The 27,199-nt window shown below is 37.6% G+C and overlaps 1 protein-coding gene across 52 annotated transcripts in view, besides 1 other annotated feature; it reads left to right on the forward strand.

The window, feature by feature from the left end:
• The window catches only part of NRXN3 (neurexin 3), a 1,697,919-nt gene that overhangs the window by 810,099 nt on the left and 860,621 nt on the right, over positions 1-27,199 (forward strand). For all 52 annotated transcript variants that reach the window (NR_158973.1, NR_158975.1, NR_158974.1 and 49 more), the window contains one exon: positions 7,551-7,670. Coding sequence is in view for 46 of the 52 variants with exons in the window: in XM_011537363.2 (XP_011535665.1) it covers positions 7,551-7,670 (120 nt within the window). In the remaining 6 variants the exon portion in view is untranslated. The remainder of the gene's footprint in view (positions 1-7,550; positions 7,671-27,199) is intronic.
• Positions 4,988-5,508: an enhancer, noted in NCBI's record as "OCT4-NANOG hESC enhancer chr14:79451802-79452322 (GRCh37/hg19 assembly coordinates)". NCBI's record gives its function as "activates a minimal SCP1, AML or CMV promoter by ChIP-STARR-seq in naive H9 embryonic stem cells {active_cell/tissue: H9 hESC(naive)}" and the evidence as "EXISTENCE:reporter gene assay evidence [ECO:0000049][PMID:30033119]".

Here is a 27,199-nt window from a genome sequence, read left to right on the forward strand (position 1 = left end):
GGAAGAAAGTCTATTTCAAGGACCTACAAACAATAAAAAATACTCTATCAACTTTGGTTTTCTAGGCCATGAAGAGGAATTGACTAAATCAGTGTACACGTGCTGTAAGGGTGGATTAGAGCAGTAACAGGCATAAAATGGTTGTATCAGACAATTCTTAATGAGAAGAACAATCCCACCATCAAGAAAAATGATAGGAAATTTTGGCAGCCATCAGAATTATCTGATAAATAAAATGATAAGGGAATGAGATGCAATTTCATGTTTTCCAGCAAACCAAAAGCAGGGCTGGAAATTAGAAACCAAAGTACTAACACCATTGACATCTTATTCAGTCTTTCCAGACACATTTCTGTTGTCTTGTCACTTTCTGTAGTATACAAAGAAAGTCACCATCTTTTCTCAAAGGGATATGTGACTATTTTCGTGAGAGTTATTCACATATCAAGAGCAAAAATAACTTATACCATTCCTATACAGGAACTTCCTAAGGCCTTTGGATGTTTTAAGATATTAATAATTAATAATGACAATGATAAAAAAAGACTTCATAAATATGTAATTAAACAAATTTGTGCTGTCTTAGAATGTCTGGAATTTTATGTTGGTTTGGAAGAGTGTTTTATGAAAAATTATGATTATTAAGTCCCCAGAATTGTCTGTCATGCTTATAAACGTAACATTTGATACAGATTTCTGTTCATAAAATTGGACAAAATGAGATCTTCCTGTTTAACTGAATTGAAATGGTATTTGAAAGTTTTCCTTGTAAAAAACAAAAACAAATCCTTACATCAAGACGTCATCTTTTCCCAGTTGTAGGTCAGAAATACCTTAAGTTACTCTTATTAATCCAATGACACCACACATGCACATTCCCCACTCTGGCTTACACACATCCGTGAGAGGTTAGGTGAGTGGGCTGCACAATTAGCAAGCTTGGGTTTGAGACCTCACCCTCTCACTTGCCACCTATGGATTTTGGGGAAAATTATGCAACTTTTCTGTGTCTCAGTTTACTTTTCTGAAGTCTTTGCCTTTTGATTCAATCAACATTTTAAAAATTACTTAAATTTGAAATTATGGAGATCTCCTATGAGAAAATAATTTGTTTCTCTGATTCTTTACTACTTTTAATTATATTTGCTTCATCATGTGCTTATGAAGATTAATTGAATTAATATCTTAAAAGCATTTAGTATAGTGTCTGGCTCATAATAAGCACTAGGTAAGCTGTGTCTATTGTTATATCCTCTTTCTGATTTGTACAAGATTATTTTATATCAATAGATGTTTAGTGGGAAGCACTGTTGAAGCTTTTGGTTTTTCTCCCCCAAGACATGTTTTTCTAATTTCTTTGACACACTGCTATGTGAAATGCATACATTAAATACATTGACATAAAATAGGCTCTGTTTAGGAAAGGATGTACTTAAACAGGTTGAAGTAAGAATAGGAGCTCACAAAATGATCATCTAGAAATTGTTCTAGAGTCTAGCCCAGACTCTCATTCATTCAATAGTTATTACATACTGTACTTGGGCTTGGGAATACCAAAGAGTTCTTGTCAGCATCTGGTGAGTCTGAAATCAAAGGACACACGGCCAATTAAATACCACCACCCCACCCACCCTAAGAAAAAAATGTAAATAAAAACAGTTTCAAGTAAGAGATTACTTATGTGAGCTCTTATTGGTAAATTCTAGGGATAAATTTTTACAAGAACCATTTTGCTTTAAATTCTAAATGAATGGCTTTATTTCTTTATTTTTTCTTTGTTATTTAGTTCTTTCTTTTATTCAATAATATTTTGAATATTTTGAATAGAACCCTCACGCTATACCAAATACAATATCAGAAATTAGAGATGTAAAGGTGACCAAGACAGACAAGGCTTCTGCCCTTGAGAGGCTTACGGTCCAGTAGGATTTGAAAGACAGTGAGGAACTTAATAGTTCTGACAAAAAACGGATGCACTGACCAGTGGAACAGGATAGAGACCCCCAAAATAAACTTATGCATTATGGTTAACTGATTTTTTTTTTAACAAAGGTGCCACAAGTATGCAATGGAGAAAGGATGGTCTCTTCAATAAATGATATTGGACAAAATGGATATTTACACGCAGAAAAATAAAATTGTACCCTTTTTATACCATATACAAACATCATCTCAAAACATATTAAAGATTCAAATGTTAGACCTGAAACTATAAAACTACTAGAAGAAAACGTACAGGAAGTGCTCCATTGCATTGTTTCTGGGCAAGGATTTCTTGGATGTGACTTCAAAACCACAGGCAACATAAACAAATGAGATTGCATGAAGCCAAAAAGGTTCTGCACATCAAGAAAACAATTAATAGAGTGAAGAAGTAACCCATAGATTGGGAGAAAATATTTGTGAAGTGTATATCTGATAAGGCACTATTATCCAAAATATATAAGAAACACAAACAACTCAAAATAAGAAAACAAATACCCCAATCAAAAAATGAGCAAAGAATCTAACTAGACACTTCTTAAAAGAAGATATGCAGATGGCCAACATATATATGAAAAAAATGCTCAACATCACTCATCTTTGGGAAAATGCAAACTGAAACCATGATGAGATATCACCTTGCACCTATTAAAATAGCTACTATCAAAAAGACAAAAACAACAACAACAACAAGTATTGGCAAAGGCTTGGAGAAAAGGGAACACTTGTGCATTTTTGGTGGGAATGTAAATTAATATAACCATTATGGAAAACAGAATGGAGGTTCCTCAGAAAACTAAAAATAGAATTACCATATGATTCAGCAATCCTGCTTCTGGGTTTCAGTCCAAAATAATTGAAGGCAGTACGCCAAAGAGATATCTGCATTCCCATGTTCATTGCAGCATTAATCACAATAGCTAAAAATTAGAAGAAACCTGGGTGTTCATCCTCAGATGAATGGATAAAGAAAATGTGGTATATGTACACGATGCAATACATTTGCTCATTTTTTGATTGGGGTATTTGTTTTCTTACTATTGAGTTGTTTGAGTTTCTTACATATTTTAGATAATAGTCCCTTAACAGATTGTTTTATTCAGCCTTAAAAAAAAGTGGGAAGGCTGGGTGTGGTGGCTCATGCCTGTAATCCCAGCACTTTGGGAGGCCGAGGCAGGTAGATCACGAGGTCAAGAGACTGAGACCATCCTGGCCAACATGGTGAAACCCTATCTCTACTAAAAATACAAAAATTAGCCAGGCATGGTGGTGTGTGCCTGTAGTACCAGCTACTTGGGAGGCTGAGGCAGGAGAATTGCTTGAACCCAGGATGCAGAGGTTGCAGTGAGCCGAGATCATGCCACTGCACTCCAGCCTGGTGACAGAGCAAGATTCCATTTAAAAAAAAAAAAAAAAAAGAAAAAAAAAGAAAAAAAGGCTGGAAATTCTCTTATTTGCAACAACATGGATGAACCCGGAGGATATTATGCCAAGTGAAATAAGCCAGGCACAGAAAGACAGATACCACATGATCTCACTTATATGTGGAATCTAAGAAATTTGAACTCATAGAAATAGAGAATAGAATAGTGGCTATAGGAGGCGGGGGGAGGGGATGGATGGAAAAATAAGAGATGTTGATCAATGGGTACAAAGTTTCAATTAGACAAGAGGAATAGGCTTTGGTAATCTATTGCATAGAATGGTGACTACAGCAAATAATAGCGTATTTTAAATTTCAAATCATTAGAAGAATAGATGTTAAATGTTTTTACCACAAAAAAGTGCTAAGTATGTGAGGTGATTGATTTGTTAATTAGCCTGATTTACCATTCCGTGTTGTAAGCATATATTAAAACATAACATTGTATCCCATAAATATAAACAACTATTATCTTTCAATTTAAAAGAAATTAATTTAATTACAGTCCACGTAATTGTTATTAGTTAAGTAAATAGGAAGACATGATGAAGAGTAAAAGTTCTGCTAATGGGGGCTTCCTTAAGTAGGATAGTTTGGAGAAAGCTCATTTTGAGCTGAAACTCAAAGAATAAAAATGAAACAGTCATTTGAATCTGGAGAAAGCACAGTTAAGGCCAAGGGTCCAGCAGGAAGCGCAAAGGAACTCGAAGATAGGGGTGGGCATGAAGTATTAAGGCAGTGGTCCAGGAATATGAGCAGGCATCTGAACCACCTGGAGGGCTTGTTACAACTCAGATTCCTCAATTCTGCCCCCAGTCAGTAGGTCTGGGTACAGCCTTAAAGTGTTTTTCTCATAAGCTTCCAGGAGATGCAGATGCTGCTGGTTTAGGAGCAACACTCTGGGAATCATTGTGTTAGGAACTAAAAACAGGAGAGGGCTGTAGCACTGTGAGCTAGGGACATATGGTAAGAAATGAGACTGGAGAAGGAGGCAGGGGCTCCTAGGAGCTCAATCTTGAAAGGAGGTTCAAGGTTAGTTCCAGATTGTTGAGAAGTTGAAAGTTCTATTAAGTCCTTAGTGACAATACTGTTGTTCTTGGATGCTTACAATGTAGTCAGTCTTCCGGTACTATCTGATTCTACATGGCCTTTGCCCCTTAATGCAAGTGAAGCAAATTCAGTGGAATTGATAAATAACCTATAATCCCCGCCCTGTATTTGGTCCCTGATGAACTTCTGACAAATGGAAAAGATTGCATACTTTGCAGAGTGCAGACATGCTCCTACACTCAGGTTTTGGAAGCATGATATAGCAAATCAAGGGTGGTTACAATTCAGATCACCCTAACATTTACTGGAACACTTTCTGCATCTTCACAATAGACTTAGTGCCACAAGGACCTAACCAGAGAATATTACCTGATTTCTAATAGCAAGCAGCTTTCAAACTTTTGATGATAAAATAGTAAAAACATAAAGCAATTAGAGGATTATATGAGGAGAAGACAGTGCAATGCGTAATAAAGTGCTAAACTGAATATTATATGCAAAAATTAATGACGCAGATAATAATTGCTATGGCCACAACAAAGCGGGAGAATTATTGTTTGAAGTTATTGACTAATGTTTCATTTGAAGAAGGCATTCAGGCTGGTCCTTAGAAAAATGGTTAAAATTTGGCAGTTAGAGGGAAGGCGAAAGATATGGAAAAGGCTTCGTCTTTAGATTCAATCAACATTCAAAGAATTATTGTGTTTTCCCAGAGTTTTTGCTGTTTTACTGCCTTTTACAGTAAAACTTTCCATAAACCTTCCATGTGTTTCTGATTATTGAGTACAATTGAATTACTAGCCAATTGTATGGTGAGAGCTGTTTGGCCAGGGAGCCCCTGTGGACTTCTCAGAAGCTTTTATCCTTTGAAAGAAGCTGTCCTGATTTACCATTGTTAATGAAACTTGTATAACACAATGCTTGAGTTTAAGACCCACTGAGAACATGACCACATACCTCCTTTCATCTCTACATGGGGGAACCACATGGCCAATAGGAGCTGCAGAAAGCCAGCAGCAGTACTGTAACCCCAGTGTTAGTAATTGTTTTGAACTTTCTTATGTCATATCCTCATAGCATTGTCTTATGAGTGATGGCCTGTCCTGCTTCCACCCTTCATGAATAAATACAAAATGCCTTGCCACCCAGAAGACGAACCCTTTGTAGTCGTGCATCTCTTTTGAACATGCGTCTTTAGGACCCTGTGTTCTTTCATTTCAGTATTCTTGCTTTTGTGAGGCTTACGTTAGAAACTGTGAAATATGCTGTTATTGCAATGGTAATATGTTTTACCCTGTCAAGTGCTTTTATGCATTAGTTCCTGACTAATACATTTGGTGAGTCAAAGGGCTCATCTCGTTTGCTGAGATTCTCTGGGAAATTCATGGAGTTATACTGAATATTAAGATATTTCCTGTGAGCTCAGATAATCCTAAATGTATAGATTTATCTTTAATCCCAAAGTTAAGGCAGAAAATGTCAGTAAAAGAGAGAGAATGGTTGAAGAGAAGTGCCAGGCGGACCGAAAGAGTTTAATGGCAATCTGTAAGAGAGAGATCATCAAAAAAATTTTAATGCCCCCACATGTCAGTAAAAGATTTGGAGAATGCCTTCAAAATAGGTAAATTTACTTGTAAGTTATATACATGTACTATTATTCTTATATATTAACATATGAAAGACACACAGAAATAGAAATAATTTAGAATTAATTAAAAGAAACACAATTTCTAATATTTTCTTTCTATAGCACAAATGATTCTCTTTTGCATGCTCCAGCGCATGCACACTCCATTTAAGAGAATCCATTTTTAGCTTGGTGCAGTGGTTCACACCTGTAATCCCAGCACTTTGGGAGGCTGAGGTGGGCAGATCACGAGGTCAGGAGATCGAGACGATCTTGGCCAACATGGTGAAACCCTGTCTCTACTAAAAATACAAAAAAATTAGCTGAGTGTAGTGGCGTGTGCCTGTAATCCCAACTACTCGGGAGGCTGAGGCAGGAGAATTGCTTGAAGCTGGGAGGTGGAGATTGCAGTGAGCCAAGATCGTGCCACTGCACTCCAGTCTAGCAACAGAGCGAGACTGTCTCAAAAAAAAAAAAAAAAAAAAAAAAGAATTCATTTTTAGAATACCTAGAGCAGCAGTGTGCTGTAGTGCAACGGCTTTCAAACTTCAGACTGCATTTGAATGTCCTGGAAGCTTGTAAAAACAGATGTGTGCCTCCCTGCAAAAGTTTCTAATTCAATGGGTCTGGGGTGAGCTCCAAGCGTTTGCATTCCTGACACATTCCCAGGTTGTGGTCGTCTGAGAACTACACATTGAGAACCACTGGTATAGTCCACAGCATGCGTTTTAGAGTTACTTTACCTAAGTTGGACATCAGCATCCTTCAATTACCAAATGTGTGACCTTGAGTAAATTACTGTGTCTTCCCGAGCTCAGTTTCTTAAAATCTGTAAAGTGGAGGTAATCATAATTACTTACCTCTTAGAGTACCTGGAGAGCTCAGCAAGATAATGTAAATACATTGTTTAGTACCCAGTACTCGCCCCCTAAAAAACATCAATACATGTTGGCTGCTAAATCCTCCTTCTTCTCCTTCTCTTCCTTCTCTTCATCATTATCAATATCATTAAACATCTTTTTTTATGTCACGAAGTAGATATAGGGACTGTTGGTTTCAGGATTAAAAAAACACTGTGCCTTAATTTATAAGAATCATGGGAATGATTTTTTTTTTCTGAGTTAGCATTCTACATTAAAAAAAGCTATAATCCAAATGAGATATCTTTCTAGTTGAAAGGTAGAGATGAAGCTATTTTGCAAAGTCAACCCGAAGGAGAACAGTGTGTTCAGCCCTCTCCCTTCTGTGTATAACTGTTGATAGTTTGTGGCTAAGTGTGTATTTCCGTCATCTTTTGTATATACTGAGTTCTTGTTGCATGAGATTGAGTTGACAATTTTGGTGGTGTGTCTTCAAATGTTTGGGGGCATGAGAATGGTAAATTCAGGTGATTTCCTTGAATCTAATTTTTAACATTTCTTCTCTCTCTCCTTTTTCTTTTTTTCCCCTCTTCTTGTGCATTACTAGGACCCAGTACCACCTGCCAGGAAGATTCATGTGCCAACCAGGGGGTCTGCATGCAACAATGGGAGGGCTTCACCTGTGATTGTTCTATGACCTCTTATTCTGGAAACCAGTGCAATGATCGTAAGTACAACAACCTTTCATACTGGAACTTTGTGAAGATGTTTGGAGATTTGGAGAATCTTAAAGGACAATATGTAAAAGGATGGCTCTTCTGAAAGATTCATAAGTAATTCTCTCCTCCAGAAACTTGGGAAATAAATGACTAGTGCTCTTATGAGAAGAGTGAAGAGATGTGTCTTGCTTAACAACACTAAATATTCTCCCACTTGCTCACTCCCTGTGTTTTTTCTTTAGATTAGAATAGCGACTGAGAAACAATAACCACAGCAGCAAACCATTTCAGGCAATATTTTTGTTGTAAGGGCTTCAGTTCTTCATGAATTAAATCACCTTATCTTATTGAATTTAACTCCAAATTGGTTAATAATTTTGAGACTCTCCCCTTTTGCATTGCCTAGAATTTTGAGGCTATTTAAAGGGTATAGCTGTTTTCTCAAAAAGTTTGAGTTCTCTGAATTTCTTAGGCCTTACAAATGACAAAGACATTCAAGAGTTTATTTTTTACAATTAGCAAAGCTTAAAGCGTTCTTGGGTATCTTTCAGATATAGGGTAGAAATTCTCTCTGACTAAATTTATTGGTATCTGGTTTATATACACATAGCTATTCTGTATGTATGTGTGTATATATATGTGTGTGTGTGTGTATATATATGTATGTATGTATTTTCTATTTTGTGAGTATATTTTATATGTATATATTATGTATTTGGTTTTTATTGGAAGAGAGTCTTGTGATTGTTAATTGTGTCCACTAGTGATGCTTCTGGCTCGTGGGTTTAGTTCTGACTTCATGAAGGTGCTTCTAGCACTGATGGTGGAGACACCTCAATGCTGTGGGCATCTATAACCTGTGTCTCCACTTCTTTCTCATGTTATTTTCTTGATGTGACCATAGTAAAGATGAGCACACACTTGAAATTTCTGAATAACCGTGGCAAAGAGATTTGTTGAAAATCCCTGACTCTGTGGGTCCTGCTAACCTTCTGACTTTCTAAATGCAGCCTTTGTTTTATAATCCAGACTCATTTGACCTCTTGGTTTTAGAAAAATGATGCATGATGTTATCTGAGAAAATAGTAAAGTCACATTATGGTGTGACCACATGGGAGCAGACACCAATTACAATGCTATGCCCCCCAGATCTATGTGGTTTTTTTGATTCTTTATTTCTCAGCTTTTTATCTGTGTGCAGCTGTCTGTTGTTGTTCTTTTTCCCGTTTTTTCTCAGTAGTTTTGGTCCCATATGCTCTTTCATTCTCTTAAGGTACACTGAGGAGAAACAAGTGGAGAAGTTGGCAATATAGAGAGAAAATTATGTAATACGCATTCATCTAATTACATAAGCATATGTCTCTGTATCTGTCATGTGAAGGATACGATGTCTGGAGAAAGTTTTGGTATAAGACTGCTCTTACCAAGTCTTTTGGTATTATTGAAAGTCATGTTGCCATATTTATGATGTGGAAATACTGTTTCACTCTGAAACAGGTAGTTATAAACCCAGCCAGCCAGAGAACCTGAGGAATTATACTATATGCTCTTTCTTTTTCCTCCAATTTGTCAGTATAGCACTCACTAGGAAGGCTTTTTTCTCTAAATGGTGGCATAATGCTTCTTTATCCTCACAAGTTTATTTCTTGTCGCATATACGTCCCTTTCTGGGTAGAAAATGGTCAGGAAGAGACTCTCCACACAGAACAGGTATAAAGGTAAGTTATCGTAACGTGGTGAGCACGCACAATTTTCAGAAGGTAGGTATGTCTTTTTCTGTCTTTGACAAGTTCCTGTCTGTCACCCAATGCCAGGCATTATTTTCTGGTAAAAATCAGGAAGGATTCTTTCTAGCATTCTGTGACTGTTTCTGGTTTTATCAAGAGCAGATTGTGTCTCATTCTGGGATGTGGAGTATCACACTGTCTGACTTGGGGAATTTGTTGGGATATAATGAAGCACTAGAACTTACATTGGGAAAATGTCAGCTTTCCTTTGTGGCAACAGCTTATCACAGTTCAAAAACATTTCTAGTAAATCTAGGTTTAGGGCAATACATTTTGAATTTTATTCTGTAACAATGCAGCTAAATCTTTTCATTATAGCAGACTTGGGAAACTGCCTCTCTAACAGGAGCTACTTGCCTAGTCCCCCACCTGGAGATTGGACCACGGCTTCTGTGATTGGATAGATACATAGATACATGCAAATGATGAAGTTCACATCTATTTTTTTTTTTTTTTTTTTTTTTTTGAGACGGAGTCTCATTCTGCTATTGCCCGGGCTGGAGTGCAGTGGCACAATCTCGGCTCACTGCAACCTCCACCTCCCAGGTTCAAGCGATTCTCCTGCCTCAGCCTCCTGAGTAGCTGGGATTACAGGTGCCTGCCACTACGCTCAGCTAATTTTTTGTATTTTTAGTAGAGACAGGGTTTCATCATGTTGGCCAGGCTGGTCTTGAACTCCTGACCTCGTGATCCGCCCTCCTCAGCCTCCCAAAGTGCTGGGATTACAGGGAAGTACACATCTTAGTTGTGGAGTGTGATAAGTATATAGAATTGAGACATATAGGATGTGACTGTGAAGTTTGAATATAAACTTTTAATGAAATCCAACCAAATATAGCAGAATGGTAGATTGTTTAAAATTATTACATTGGACGTTTCTGTTTCCAATAATTGGTATTCAAGTTATCTGGAAGACCTTCTGTTTTGGAACTAGCAGCAAAGCCAGTTTGTTCTACCTAGAAAAAGCAGTCTCACTATATCATAGACCATTATTTTCTATAGCAGCCTTGACCCTTAGAGTTATAATTGGCTATTTCATCTCACAAACATCTTCAAAATGAAGTTACCTGCATGATATTCTATATGCTTACCTTTGTTGATAAATTTTTGGTGGCGTAGCCTGTATCAGGACTCAAGTGTTAACCTTCATCATCACCGGCAGACTTGAATAGGCTCATGCTTATCATCAGCAAAAAGTGGTGGGGGAAATTGCAAAGAAAGATAAGCTCATGGAGGAGGAAGAATAATGATGAAAAGGAATATAGAGAAAATCAGAAAGTGGGTCTTATATGGAAGAGCACAGAGGTCATCAGCAATTGCTTTGGTAACATGCCTGCCACAAGTGGCCTGCCTTTGACCTAAATAACAGAAATGGGTCACAGCATTAAAAGTCGAGTGCCATCAAGGAAACCTGGCTTTTACCTAATTAATTCCTGCAAAGAGAGTGTTCTATAGAATGTTGCATATAGCTCAAACAAATTGTATCCATTTAAATGCTATCATAGGACCATGCAAATAGGTTAGAGATGAAATTTAATTGTAAAAAGCATTTTGTGGGGGAAAAATGGTTATGGATATCTCATTTTCCAGAAGCTGTTTCTCAGGGCAACAGATTGATCCTCAATTAATGAACATGAAAACACTTCAGTTTATTACTACATATCCAAAAACTGAAACTTACTCAACAGGGAAATAGCTAGGTCTTATATTTTCCAAAATAAGGTACTAAATCCATCATGTGTAAAAAAGTTAATCATATGTAGGCATGACTTGTAAGGCTCTAAAAATGTCTGCATTTTAGGGTATTCCTTTTTCCTAGCATTGGTTCTTTTATGACCTTTGTGTTTTTCTTGCCTGTTTACCAAATATGATTGCCTGACAATGTTAATGTGCTGTTACATAGATGTTGCCTCTATGAGTACAGCGTACATTTTAAAACTTAGTCTCATTTAGTGTGAGTTGGCCAAGCCTGGATGTTTTCACTTTATTTCTTTATTCTTTGTGTGACCCTGGTGGGTTGATGGAGGCAGTGGGATGAATTTCAGTTTCACTCTTATAAACATAGCTGTGCAAAGCTGATATTCTTTAGAGCTGATTGTCTTGTATAAGAGTGACTCCCTTGTATGGGGTTAGGAAACAAAAATCCTCTGATTGGAAATCCAAGTGTAATTGATTTGCTAATTGTCTTACATAGTTTTAGATATGACCTTCCACAATGTTATGTAATGGTAAAGTCATGGGGAGTTTCTTTTGGGTTGACTTTTAGGGCTGTTTTGATTCTGCAATCTAATCATCCCAGAAGAAATGTTGAGTTAATGTAGAAGTCAGTATGATCTGTGGAAGAAAACATAAGTAACATTCTCCAAGATAATCTTCAGTTCTCGTGAAACATTTAAAATTGAGGGAGCTGGCTATTCAGAGGGTGAGCACCACCTGAAAATCAACTTAATGAAAGCTGTCTTGGGCTACATTTTAAGAACAACAAAAGAAATGGAACCTTACAAAGGTTCTTGATAGGCATATTCTTTTTTGATATTGGGTTCTTATTAGTATTTTAAATCAGGACTGAGAACCTGGGAAATTCTAGCATGTTGTAGCCATGGCAGCACCAGGCAAATCCAGAATCTCCTTCCTGTATTTTGTGGTAATATTGTCACTGTCAGCCTGCTGTTGAGTTTTTCTTTCCTTCAAACATCGAAAAATGTTGTGTAGAATAGAACCCTCCTGCATGCACCCACACATGTGCAAAAGGGTTGTCATTTTTATGGACTTTGTGAAAATAGCAGTTTTAAACATTTCATACCTATCCTTAACAACATTGTTGGCTTTTACCATGTACATGACAACTGTTTTGAGTGGCATACAATTTGGGGGTTTGGTTATTGCTTCTGGTGCCCTGGAGAAGCACATATAGGACAGTCTTTGGCACATGAGTCCTTAACACACATCAAGTTCCTGACTTTATGAGGTGGGTGCTCATCATGGCTTTGTGGGGTGAAGTAAAGGGAATGAACGTGGGTCCTCAGCCCACCCTTAGGAGCTGGCCACCCTGTGCTACATTGCTGGTCACACACTGCAGGATGCCTGTTGGAGAAATTCCTAGGTTCACACTGGCATGTGGTAATAGATGTTCTTTGCTTGCAACAAATCAATAGCAAGCAGCTGTGGATAGTGCAGATAGTGGAGTGTAAAGCGTCTTTTTCAGACAGTTTTCTGCAGGAGTGGCTATTAAGCTGCAGTGTTGGCTATTGATTGGCCTTTTGCTTTTTATTTATTGTGTGGGTTTATTTATTTTTTTAATGTAGGTTGGTGTATTGATTAAATCTGTTAAAAACACATTTCCCATTCAAGCTTCAGAAAATACAAGCAATGTATGCATTACTCAGTGTGCAAAGAAGGGGACAGATATGTGTATACTGATTCTGTCTCTTGGGTCCATATAGGTACATAGACATTATGTTAAAAACCTATGTTGTTATGAACCTATGTTGTTCCAGACCTATTGGTATAGCAGTAATTTTTAAGGATATCATAGTATAGTACATCCATGTTTTTGGTTATGTGTTCATTCCCCGCCATTGTTTTCAGACTCTACCTGCCCAGCGAATAGGCCATATGTAAGAAGTTCACTTGTAAAACAATTGTTTGTTGCTTAGAATGCACTTTATCATGTATTGATTCATTCACTCACCAAACATTTCTTATTTGCAGATATAATCATGAATAAGAGAGTTTTGTTCTCAAAGACCTTCTAGTCTAATGGGGAAAGACACATATGAAGGTGCTTCAGTAGAAACATGAACAGTGTATAGCGAGGAGTCATAAGGTGGAGTAATGGCAGCTGTCCCCAGGGTTGAGACTCTATGAAGAGCAGCTGCTTTTAGGATGGTTTTCATTGAAGATGAGCCTTGAAATTTTTTTTTTTTTTTTTTTTTTTTTTTTTTTTTGAGACAGAATCTCTCTCTGTTGCCCAGGCTGGATTGCAGTGGTGCGATCTCAGTTCACTGCAACCTCCGCCTCTTGGGTTCAAGTGATTCTCTTGCCTCAGTCTCCTGAGTAGCTGGGATTACAGGTGTGTGCCACACACCACGTCCAGCTAATTTTTGTATTTTTTTAGTAGAGACGGGGTTTCACCTTGTTGGCCAGGCTGGTCTCGAATTCCTGACCTTGTGATCCGCCTGCCTCGGCCTCCCAAAGTGCTGGGATTACAGGTGTGAGCCACTGCGCCTGGCTGCCTTGAAAATTTACAAGTAGGTTCAAAGCAAACATGGTATGGAAGAGGGCTGGAAAGGAAAGGTAGCGTGCCAGCAGGCAAGCAGGGAAAATATATGCTGCAGTCACTGTTAACATTCTGCATGTTTCCTTCCGGTCTTCATTTTAAGCATTAGCATGGTTCAGATCACATTCTGTTTGACATTTTTGCCCTGCTTTGTTTGGTTTAACACTATAGGCTATGCATTTTTCAAGATATAAAAAAAAATTAGATTTCCCAACTTCTTTCAATAGAATGCATGTTATGGTGCCCAACTCTTGGGGAGAAACTCCCCTATGTTGAAATCATTGCTGAGTCCTAAATGTAGGCCTCATAGGGCTCAAATCTGGATTTATTTCATTGAGTCGTTGGTGGAGATCGATCTTGAAAATTTATTTATAAAGAATCCAATTTTTAAAAGTTTGATTTGTAATGTGTATAACTTATTAAATGATAAAAGAAATCAAAGCATAGTCATTAATTTAATTGGCTCTAGAATCAAACTGCTTTAAATGCCAGTCCTGAGTCTTTCTATCTGTGAAGTTGAATTGTTCACTTAGCTTCCTGAAACTTTGGTGTAACATAAGGAGTGTAATAGGTACTTGGTAAATAGGATTAGTGGTAGTTTTTATTGTAGCTAATTATAATATTTGACAACTGTTAAGTCCTTATCATGGTCCTGACACTCTACTAGGACCTTTATAAGGATATCATTCTTTTAATCATCCCCAAATTCTTAAGAAAATATTATAGTACGATACTCCTGATTTTAATTATGACAAAACTGAGATCACACTGTTAGAATATAGCTGATTGAGGGTTTGGTCCCAGGTTTGTCTGACATAAAAGTTCACATTCTTATTCGATTTGCTGCCACTTAGTCATTATTAGAAATAACAGTTTAACATCTGTACTGATATTAGACTAGGATGCTTAATTCCATGTGGGCAAGTCTTCACAGACAATCAAACTGCATAAAAACATAGAACTGGGAAAGGGAAATTGTGTTCTTGATGATTATTTGCATCATATTGTGGAATTCAGAACATTTCAGGTCTTCCTTCTTAACACTCAGATGAGGCCATTTAGAATTAAAATGTCTTTAGCCATTATAGAATTAGAGTATCTTGCCCATACTCCAAACTATTTATATTTTCATTCTCTGTTGACCTAGATCTTCTGATTTTTATGTGTTTGCTTTATTTCAATTCCAACATATGTCATACAGCACGGTGGACGAGACCACTAATGTGTAATGGGGTGGCCTGTGTTCAAATCATGACTCTGTCCCTTAATATCTATGTTACCTTGGACATGATAATTACAGTGCTTCTAAAGTGCAGATATTTTGTAGGTCCTATCTTGTAAGAATAAATTTTACAAACATAAATTGAATAATAATAAATTGAATGTGTAGTGGTGAAGTTTAGGAGATATGGCACATGATGGCCCTGCCGGCTACTCTTCGATATTACTTTCAAAAAGTTAAAAACATGACTCATACAAATATAATTATTATAAAGTTAAAAACAAAACACTCATGCAAATATAGAATGAATGTGTGTCAAATTTATTTAACTCCATAATGAGAGAAACAAGATGGTAACAGTGTAAACAAGATGACAAAAGACTATTTGAAGAACTGGATATTTATAGGCCTTAAGAATATTAAAATACAAATTTTAGATTTAAAAGTGGTAAATGTCCTACAAAGCAAAAATCTCTTAACCTTTGGTGTTATCTTTTCTATGGAACATCTGTGCTGAACAAAAATCTACAGGTTCAGAGGGCATCTTCTGTACTCTGGGCCCCCGCTAACAATAAATGTCAGTGCCAGTCACAGGTTCTTCTCCCATAGAGCTAAATGTTTCTCGGGTGGGCCTGTTAAACAGTGTCCTTTTATAACATTAGAAAGACACATGATTTTTTTCCCCTAACTTTTGCCCTATGTTTTGGATAATTTTTATTAATTTATATTCAGTTTCATTTTTCTTTTTTACCTTGAATACCTCTTTCATACACAATTACGTTTTTTAACCGCTTAACAGTGTGCCCCAATGTGCTGAATTCATTGTCATTTAAACCCCACGGCAACCCTAAAAGTAGATACTATTGTGATACCAGTTTCATAGATGAGAGAACTGAGACAGAAAAGTCAAGTGATTTGCTCAAGGTGACAAAACTATTAGGTTGAGGAACAAAGATTCAGAGTTATGTTAGTCTGACTGCAAAGTCTGGGCTCTGGACTGCCAATATCTTCTTAATGCCTCAGGGAAAGTTTCCTGATGAGAATTCATCTGAATTCATAGGGGTTTAGATTCACATTAGCCACAGAGCTTAACGACTTTTGTTAGCATCAATTATACTGTAATTTCTAGTGTCTGTGTTATTCTTTTGGGGGGGATGCTATTTTATTTTATTCACTTTAAATGAGGGCATTTAAAGTAGGACTGATTTGCTCGGGGAACAAGATCAGAATTTCCATCAAATAAGTGCCATTTTGCAGGTTTGGTACATCTAAGCAGGGAGGAGGCTGAGTCCTGAGAAGTCAGTGAGGCTGAGAGGGGCAGCATAGCTCCATGATAACCAGGTCCCAGAAGGCGAGACAGATGCAAAAGAAACGTCAGGAGTGGCAGCACCAAAGGTTATTTCTCTGCATCTGTTTTTATTCTCGGGCCCACAGATATTCCATGGAGCCAAAGGGAAGTCAGAAGATAACAATGAAACCCAGGGTCTTCTAAGAGCAGAATGAAGCTAGCGGTACTCTTAGGAACAGTTCTATAGATGTGGGTTGTAGCTTGTTGCCCATGGGAATCACACTTGCTTTTAAGTTCCATCAATATTAAGAAGGGATGATTTGGAGTATTCTCAAGCTTTATCAGGGCTAATATTAATATGTGTGCAATACTAAACCGATTCAGCAAGAGCCAGGACTGCGTGCAGCTTTGTTTTTCACAACCCTCCCTGAAAATAAGCTGGGACTCATAGGTGACACATTGGTTTCTACAAACCCCAGTAGACACTTGGTCCTATGGTTCAAGAAAAAATAGTCTCCATAATTCAAAGGCATATAGCTTATCATGGATTATCATAAGCTGTTGGAGTTTGTGGCCTCAATAATTTCATTTCCACCATCTTCCACATGCTATATTTGTAGACCATTTTCATTGCTGTGTTTAATTATAGCCCATTCATTTCTGGTGTCCTTGGCTAGTTACTTACTTAAGGTGACGGCAATAATCCACTTAGAGCCTATTGCTTCACGGAAGACAATTTTTGTATTACCATGTTAGTCACATACAGGTGCAATTCCAACATATTTTTCAACATGGACATAATTTCCTATAGTTATTTCCACATCTAAAGGCACAAGAAAGATCTAAATTACTTTACTTTGTCTTGTAAAATAGAAATAATAAATATAATTTTGTTCTTTTCATTTATTTTTCTCCTCTACTTTCTTTTTAGGGAAGGAAGAGATCATTTTTTGAAGGTGGTAAAATTTACATCCAGCAAAATGCATAGATCTTACATGCATTATCACAAATGCTTATACCCAAGTAACCAACACCAGTTAAGATAAAGGATAGTTTCATCTTCTCAGAAACTTTTCTTGTTCCCTTTCCGGTTAGTTCTTCTCTTTAAGGTCATTGCTGTTTGAATTTGTATCAGCATTTGTTATTTTTGTCTCTTCTGGAGTATATATAAATGGAATCATACAATATGTGATCTTTTAGGTCTGTTTTCTCCAGCTCCATGTCAGCTCTGCATTCTAGCCAGCTGAGAGTCTCTTCTGAGTCTTAGCTCCATCTATATAACTGCAGGAGTTGGCTGGATTCCAGCTGGAACCTTCCTGCCTGCTCCATGATGCAGAAATTCTCTCCAGGCAGTAAGCTGGAGCAGTCTTAAATCTCACAGTTTATCTTCTCTATTTCAGAAACCACTGCTCTTCTTTGCCTGATGTCTCATGTCTCATGAGCCATTGTTTCATGTGTTGTCATTTTCCCGGTTATATCAGGTCAGTTGTAGTTCCAGTCTTTGTTACTCCATTTAGGTTGAAAATTGATGCCAACCTATTCTTTTTTACCTGACTTCACCTTTGCACTGTGAGATTAGGGTGAAGGTAGCAGGAGAAGACATAACATGTAATGGGCTGTGCTTCAAGCCGCAAATTCTAAGGGTTTTCTGAGGCTTTACATCAGTCCCAGAGTGATCTGGCAGTATGTAATATTCTACAACTGTTTTATTTATTCATTTATTTTAGGGAAAAGCCTTCAACTCCAGTGATAATCCCTCTGTAGTCAAAGAACCTTCTTGGCCAAAGAAAACGTTGCAAGAAGCTGCGCAAAGCTAGTTAAAGACTTGCCAATGTGTCTCTATCAAGTATTTATTAATTTGAGTGTTTCTGTTAGGAGGGCTACATTAAATTTTTTTTTTTTTTTTTGAGAAGGAATCTTGCTCTGTCACCCAGACTGGAGTACAGTGGTGCCATCTCGGCTCACTGCAACATCCGCCTACCAGGTTCAAGCAATTCTCCTGCCTCAGCCTCCTGAATAACTGAGATTACAGGCACCAGCCACCATGCCCAGCTTTTTTTTTTTTTTTTTTTTCAGTAGAGACGGGGTTTCACCATGTTGGCCAGGCTGGTCTTGAACTCCTGTCCTGAAGTGATCCTCCCACCTCTGCCTCCCAAAGTGCTGGGATTACAGGCGTACATTACTTTTTACTTCCACTCCCTCTGAAAACACTTGATTAAGCTCAGTGATTGCAGGCATTGATTTGACTTGAAAAGCTAGTGGTTCTTATTATTTTCTTCACTTAGAATTATAGTTTATTTTCTCAACCTACCCTTTTCTTGTGGATCTTTGACCACTGATTCATGTCCCTTTGCCAAGTGAAATTAACAAATGTTTTCAAACAAAGAATTTGGAGACTTCAGAAAAGTGGAGTTGTTTCTATACCTTGTAGTGTTTTGGCCATTGACTGTCCTTATTTTGATCACCAGGCACTGGTTTGCATTTATGATTTTGCTACATGCCTACGGAAGAAATGAAGGAACCTTGCATTATTGGTACCTTTGATTTAACTGAGTTTTTTTGGATATGGAAATTATAAAAGCTCACTGCTGAAAATGTGGAAAACACATAAAAGTATGAGGCAGTAGGAAAAAAACATGCTTAATTTCATCAACTATTAATATGACCTTGTTTCAGAATATGCATGATGTCAGGCACATAACAGATACTCAAAATATATTTGTTGGTTGAATGACTGAGTCTTGCATATTTTCAGCATCTGAGTTGTGCAAAGATCTTAGCTTTCTTTTCATGAAAAGAACACTAACAGTTTTACTAGGACTAGGTGTTTTCTTGCCAGAAGAAATGCTTTTAGGCATATGGGAATTATAATAAGTATCCCAATATGAAATTTCCTTCTTCAGATAAAAAATGAAAATGTCAAGATGGTTCCATTTCTTTTCAATCTTGCCCTTCTCCTTTCTCAAAGAAAGCCTTGCTGTTTCTGAACAGTCATTCATACATACATCTATATAAAAGGGAAATGGTTTTACAGCGGATCATGGTTGGAGGGAAAACACCGCTATAACATAATATGGGAAAAGAGCCTCTTGGTCCCAGTTTCTTCTGTGGCACTCACTTCCAAAGTGATGTTGTGGTTTATTTCACAAGATGAGATTTCTTGTAACAGTCTAGTACTCTAGTGATCGAGTGAGATAGTAGAACTTTATCGTCAATCATCAAATCCCACAGTTTTATGTTGACCAAAATCAGTACTACATGATTGAAGAAGTTGGATGCATTATATACTGAAAATGTAAAACACAAAATTCCCCTGATTTTTTTCACACCCTGGATTGCAAATTTTTATTTCCCTGTAGGAGAATTCAGTCAAACCTTGTAAACTGTAACAACTCTCAGGAGCATTGGTAAGAAACAATATCATCTAACTTCAGGCATTATTTCCTGGTAAATTAACTACATGCTCTTTGAAATCAGCCCTTTACTAAATCTAAAACTGCAGTTTTACTCAGATATTCTTATGTGAGTGAAATCAAATGCATGTATGTGCATACATATGTAATATAAATAAATATAAGTTTTCTTTAGGAGTTTTCCCAATTCTTCTGAGATGATTTTTCTATCCAAATACCTTTGTTTCTATGTCTTAAGGAGTTATAGCTTTCGGTTGCATCTTAGTCCATTGGCAAGACTTGTATTTCTGTAATTTCTGTAAAGGTAAGGTATCTACTTGGGCCACAGATCAGGTATCTGTCTGCCTTTGTGGATGTTTGGCATAAAGCCCCTTTATTCCACCTAAATTCTCGATATTTGGGGTATGATTTTATTTCTGTAAAAAAGGATTTAGGCAGGGAGGTGTCATCTGGATTTTATCTGCCCTTAAGAGTAAGTGTTCTTTCTCCTCTCCCTATCTAAAATTTCCATGTGATTCCCTCACACTGGCACTAAAGTGTGTCATCTGGTTAGAGCTCACATCAGTGCCCTGCTGCTGGTGGAGGTTGCGGGAGGTGAGCTTTAGAAAAGGGCCTGCAGCTCAACATACATGTCATGGACACAATCGTATTGTCCCCAACTCATGAAAATTCCTGAGAACAGAGCAAATCAAAAATAATATGTTAAAACAAGAAAGTTTAGTGAAACAAACTCTCGGTATTGTTAGAGGCTTTATTCTAATCCCTACAACACAGCACATGTATTCTCAACATCTAACATATTTAATTTGCATTTGGATTCCTTTAGCATATTGTCCTATTATATAAAGTTTAATGAACAATAAACACAGCTATAACCAAATTTCACAGCTATTTCTCAGTGTGGGGTAAGATTTTGCATTTAGTTATATTTGGTTTCCTAGGTAATATTTGATTGTGGCTCTATTTCCTGAAGCTGCATCTCTTGTCACATGGAATCTTTTGGTGGCGGATTCTGCCGACCGAGGGGAAGCCAGGAAGGAGTAAGTTGCTTTGAAACCACTGAAGCCATGATAGTGAAGAAGACTTCACAGTCCTTGACAGTCTTTGAGCTCTCCATTGTTGTTCTCCAGGCTTGTATTTCTGAAATCTACTGTATGTACTAGTTCCAGATCAGTCTTGCCCAAATACCATTTTTATCCTGTCATTCCTCTGCTCGTGAACCTTCAATGACCTCTTCTCAATGTAGTCCAAACCCTACACTTGGCTTTCAAGGTCTTCCAGAATCTGTTTTTCAAAAGCTGTCCCTCGAACCACATTTTCTTGAATATTCATGGCTTTCTATATTCTAATAAGGTCAGGTTTCTCGCTGTCACTAGCACATTCTGTCGTCATTATGCTCCATGCCCTTGCAGCTGTACTTCTTTCTCCCTGGAAGGCGCTCTTCTCTGGATCTATACCCCTTTGGGGTTCAGCCCAAGTCTCACCTATTTTCCCGAGTCTTCTTTGGTCAGTTAAATCCATACTCATGCCTTATCCCAAATCCCACTGCATTTATATTCAGTGCTGAGAGACACTCTGGCTTGGCATCTAAAGGGAATTAGCGTGGACCTGAGAGTAAAAGGTCAGTTCAAGTTCTGGCTTCTTTTCTTTCTAATTTTTGTGGCATTTGTCAATTAATAGAAGGTGATCTTACTATGGAAGTCTCACAACAGTCTCAGCTTTGTTAACAAAGATTATAAATAATGGGGGCAAAGCAGAGTATTGGGCCTGGGAAAGAGTTTTTGTAAAGCTTCAGGTAGAACCTTATGTTAGAAATGTAAAACCTCCTCTAAAGAAAAATGTTACCAATAAATAAAGCAAGTAGGATTTTGAGTAGATTATCATTTTTGTTGTGTATTCACCCTGTTTCCTAGAGAATCAACTTTCCTACTTTGTGCTTACTATAGTTTCCTCTAGAGTAGGGGCTAACTGTGTAGAAGAGGTTGTGTGTGGGTCGTAGGGTTACTGGGATTAGACTATTCAAATAGCACAAATATTCTGTGTATTCTGATTTCAAATGTAAACATATTCCTGATTGGAAATGTGTATATGTATTTTTTATTTTTAGTTCTGGGGTACATGTGCAGGATGTACAGGTTTGTTACATAGGTAAACATATACTACGGTGGTTTGCTGCACTATCAGCCTATCACCTAGGTATTAAGCCCAGCATCCATTAGGTATTTTTCCTAATGCTCTCCCTCCTCTGATCCTATCCCCTGACAGGCCCCAGTGTGTGTTGTTCCTCTCCCTGTGTCCACGTGTTCTCTTTGTTCAGCTCCCACTTATGAGTGAGAATATGCAGTGTTTGGTTTACTGTTCCTGGGTTAGTTTGCTGAGAATAATGGCTTCCAGCTTCATCTACGTCCCTGCAAAGGACATGATCTCATTCCTTTTTATGGCTGCATAGTATTCCGTGGTGTATATGTATCACATTTTCTTTATCCAGTCTCTCGTTGATGGGCATGTGGGTTGATTCCCTGTATTTGCTAATGTGAATAGTGCTGCAATGAACATACGCATGCATGTATCTTTGTAATAGAATGACTTATAGTCCTTTGGGTATATACCCAGTAGTGGGATTGCTGGGTCAAACGGTATTTCTGGTTCTAGATCTTTGAGGAATTGCCACACCGTCTTCCACAATGGTTACACAATTTACATTCCCACCAACAGTGTAAACGTGTTCCTGTTTCTCCACAACCTTGCCAGCATCTGTTGTGTTTTGATAAGTCCGTATAATTTAATTAGAAACCTAAGTAGGTTTTGGAGGACCTACTACCTTTACTTAAACATCCTGAATTTTATTTATTTGTTTATTTTAGAATTGGGGTCTTGCTCTGTCACCAAGACTGGAGTGCAGTGGCTATTCACAGCTGTAATCATAGTGTATTACAGCCTCAAGCTTCTGGGCTCAAGCGATCCTTCTGCCTCAGCCTCCCAAGTAGCTTGAACTACAGGAACCCATCACAGTACCCAGTATATCCTGAATTTTTAAGGCAGCCTCTCCAAGAACATTCTGAGGTGTTCTGGTGTCTTTAGTAATCTTATCTCCTAATTTTGGTTCTTGCCTGGAATGAAGAAAATTACTGGTCTGTGAATCTTTGGCTCTTGTCATTGTAAGACTTAGGGAACAATGCTGCAATTTTTGCAGCCTCTGTAATGACCAGAACTTTCAATACACAATCTTAACTTTGTAGATATTAACTTATTTTTAAATCTGCTCATTTAAAGCCATAAAATGTAATCTAATTTAGTCTTTACAATGAAATATTTACAGTAGATAATTTCACAGTCACTGCTCCCTAATTCAAAACGCTTTGAGCCTGAAGCTCTAAGGCCAGGCCAGCTTGAGTCTGATACTGATGTGCTTTAACATGAAACGTGAGACCAGGAAGTGGAAGACCCGTAGCCAAACTCTCATCCTTATTCACAGTAAATTTCTTGACAGAAGAAACCAGGGAACTATGGGGTTTCTGGTTTATTATCTGAGTGGTCTAATGCAGGAATTATTGCCTGCCATGGGGAGATGATTGCAGATCACTCTCCGGTGGAGTTTGACTGAACAAGAAGCCACATCCCAGGTCTCAGGAATAATGTTATTCCACACCCTCCCTGTTACTCAGGGGTGCTCTATGATGGGCTCAGCTGCCGAACATTAGGGGATTCGACCAAAACCTTAATCATGGCGATTTTGATAATCAGTTCCAATGAGCAGAATCCTGTGGGCTCTGTGAAACCCGTGAAGCTGATAGTATTGAAGGAAATGAAATGTGATAAGTGTGATTGCTTGACATGCCAGAAGGGGGTTGGTGGAGAAAGAATTCAAAAAAGAAAATTTAGCTATCTTAAAAACTGGCACTTCTGAGAATAATTATGTAGGGAATTTGCACTTTCATACTCTAGGTGTTTCTGAGAACAAACACATCTTAAGAATTTAGTTAGAATATGTAGATAATAAAGATTTAAACTGATTGCCAAGGGTCCTCACACAGGAATGATTTTTCTTTTATAGTTAATTTATTAATTTGAGTAAAATGTGATTCATTTACTTCTGAGCCTTTGCATGGTGTTCATATAAATAGTGTTGATAATTTCTTTCTTTCTTTTTTTTTAGACTGTATCTCACTTTATCATGCAGTGGCTTGATCTCGGCTCACTGCAAACTCCACCTCCTGGGCTCAAGTGATCCTCTCACCTCAGCCTCCCGAGTAGCTGGGACTACAGGCACATGCCACCATGTCCAGCTACTTTGGCATTTTTGGTAGAGATGAGTTTCACCATATTGCCCAGGCAGGTCTCAAACTCTTGGATGCAAGTGATGTGCCTGCCTTGGCCTCCCAAAGTGCTGGGATTACAGGTGTGAGCTACTCCACCCAGCCAATAGTGTTTGTAATTTCTGATGACAAATATTTCATGCTAAATAAGTAGCCGACCAGGAATGAACAAGTAATTACCAACAGTGGGGCACACTGTTGTTTGATGGTATATGTTTTCCTAACATGAACAAACTCCCTTACAACTTCAACATCTGTGCCTTAACTAAAATCTGGACATGCTGCATTGAGAGAGCATCTCTTGGAAGTCTCCTTTAGTGAAGGATGCTTTTTTCCTAATGTTTTAAATTCCTGGAGTCAGACCTTGATTCTACAATCATTCTTCAGTGATGTTTCTTCTTTTAAGGTCACGTATTTTTTATATGCTGTCGCCCCGTCCTCATCATTAGCATTTATTGACCTTCAGGATGTAAAAAATACTCTGAGTTCTTCCCTTGTAGCCTTCTTCTCACTCCATCCTTTGCATTGTCCTTGGTGACTTAAGTTTTCATGTTGTATTTTTTCCTAATAACCTGATTTCCTCAAATACCTGGCCACGTAGCAAAGGGAGTTTCTATTGCTGGTACTGCTTCCTAAGTTTTCAGTTCTCCCATACCTTAAACCTCCTGACACTACTTTCTGTGTCAATAATCTCAAATGTTTCACTAGCCTCCATGTGGCAGTTGGAGTTTCTAGTCTAGAATACAAATGGTATTCCCACTAATACGCAGGAGCTCTTGCCTCATGACTTGATACACTATCCAAATTCCAAAGACATTCCCTTGCTCGGTTTCTTGGCCCCTGCCTTACAGCTAGAAAAAGTCATGTACTTGGCAATTACTTCCTGTAAATCCATATCCTCTTACCTTAGCAATGCCCTCAGTATGTTCTTTTTTGTGGCCATCTAAGCTTTGTCCCTAAATTGTGACCATTTTCTTTTCTACTCAATAATATCTCATTTTCTACGTTGGTAGTTAGTACTTACTCAGTAGAAGTTATCTGATGAGAGTCTTTCTTCATATTTCTTTGTGTCAAAATGCATTTTTATGTTTAAACATCTCAAACCTCCCTGGCAATTAAGACATTTTGGGACTTTTCTCCAAACATAACATTCCATTTAAGTCTGGGACTCACTTTCATAAACCCATGCACCTGTGGGAAAACTCTCTTCCCCAACGTGCCCTAAACTTTATTGATTTGGGCTTACCTTCCTTACCTTGTTCATCTAGATATGTTCAATGGGCCTTGTACTGAATATTTGTGTGGTGTTTACATGTTTATACATGTTTACCTGTGTGTGACTTTTTTTTTCTAATTTGAACCAGGACTATGTGATTATTTTACTTGTACATTTCTTAGAACAGTGTCGGTCCTCAAAAAAAACGAGTGGGTTTCTTACTCTCTTTCCTTTCTTTCACTAAATATTTCATCATTGTAGCACTGATCTTACACATATTTGTTAATTTTTCTGGCTCATTGTCAACTGTGAGTTCTACAGGGTAGGTACAATGCCTCGTTTATTTTTATATTCCCGGTCTCTGTATCAAACCTACATAGGATTTGCAGGAAATGAGCCACTGGGAGTTTTTGAGCAAGTGTGTGATATGCCCAAAGATATGCCTTAGAAAGATTCCTCCTGGCAGAGTGTGAGAAGCAGGTTGAGAGAAAATAGTAAGCTTTGTTGAGAGAAGATTGTAAGCCTTTCTGAGAGCAGACAACACGTGGCTGCATAAACAGACCCTAGTGCAATGTCTGATATATAGTGCAGATTCAATGAATATTTTGGGGAAGAATGAGCAAAATCAAGAAAGCTATTAGGAGGCTCTTGAAAATAGGTGTGGTAAATGGCAAAAAACAAACAAACAAACAAACAAACAAAAACCCCAAAAGCATGAACTAAAGTGTCAGTACTGGTAATTTTAGGGTTAGCCTCAACTTTAAAAATAGAATATAAGCTGCTACATACACATGGGCACAGCCAATTATAGTAGTCAAAGTATAGTAGTCAAAGAACTGGTGAAATGGCAAACATTTAAGAAATTTACTCCATTTTTAACTTTATAAGATTTGATTATTATTCCTTTATAGCCTTAGCTTTTTTTTTGTTTTTACAATTAAAGATGTTTTTAAGTTAAAATAATCCACTTATATTAGAGCCTCTTTTTCTATTATCCAGACAGCACATATTATTCTATCCATTAAAAAATGTGACCATTAAAAATGGCTAGAATAGCTTAATAATATAATATCATATTTATTCTATGATTTCCAGTGGAATGAACTGTTATGGTCTCCCTGATTGATTATAATTTTAATAAACTTGGTTGTGTGTGGCTAGGAACAAGTTCATTCCAAGTTCATTTTTTCCCTGATGTAGATAAAATTCCATCAGCTAAGTTCTGCTACTGTGCCCCATCTCCAGACTTCTAGCTAAATGAAGTACTACAGGGCTCTGATTCTTGCTCAAACTCACTACTGCTAAACTGAAATGCTTGAGGTATTCAAAACTGTTATTTTCTGCGTCAATTTGATATATGTGCAGCATTTCTTTTTTAAAAGGACATGTTCTGAATGTTTAGAGTGTGTAGATAACCACTCCCACCCCCCAACACACTCACGTAACAGAAGAAACTTTGGATACTTTTATTGTGTAAACTTACAGAATTTGTGTCAAAGAAGTTCATGTGGCAAAGACATCAGGTGTATCAAATATTTTGGTGGTTTTGTTTAAATTCAGAGTGAGAATTAACCAAGCATCTACAATACGTACACCTGCTCTGTATTCTAACCCTTTTGTTCATGGCATGCACATTAAAACACGTAGCTCCACTTCGCTGCATTGTTGATTGCAGTTGATGATGAGGGTTGTCGTTTCTGTCAACTTTTAGTATTGAAGAGAAGCCTCATGTGTAGTGATGTTAGGGACAGTTCAGCCATGTTACATACCTAGAATTGTCTCTGAAAAAAAAAAGTCATGAACTTTTTTTTTTTAAAGGCAATAGAAAGCAATCAACCAACCAAACAAACAAACAAAAAAAAACAAAAAGTCTGGGCGTGGTGGCTCACACCTGCAATTCCAGCACTTTGGGAGGCCAAGGCAGGCAGATCACACGGTCAGGAGATCGAGACCATCCTGGCTAACACGGTGAAACCCCGTCTCTACTAAAAAATAAAGAAAATTAGCCAGGTGTGG

Source organism: Homo sapiens, chromosome 14 (genome assembly GCF_000001405.40).
Source record: "Homo sapiens chromosome 14, GRCh38.p14 Primary Assembly".
NCBI lineage: Eukaryota > Metazoa > Chordata > Mammalia > Primates > Hominidae > Homo > Homo sapiens.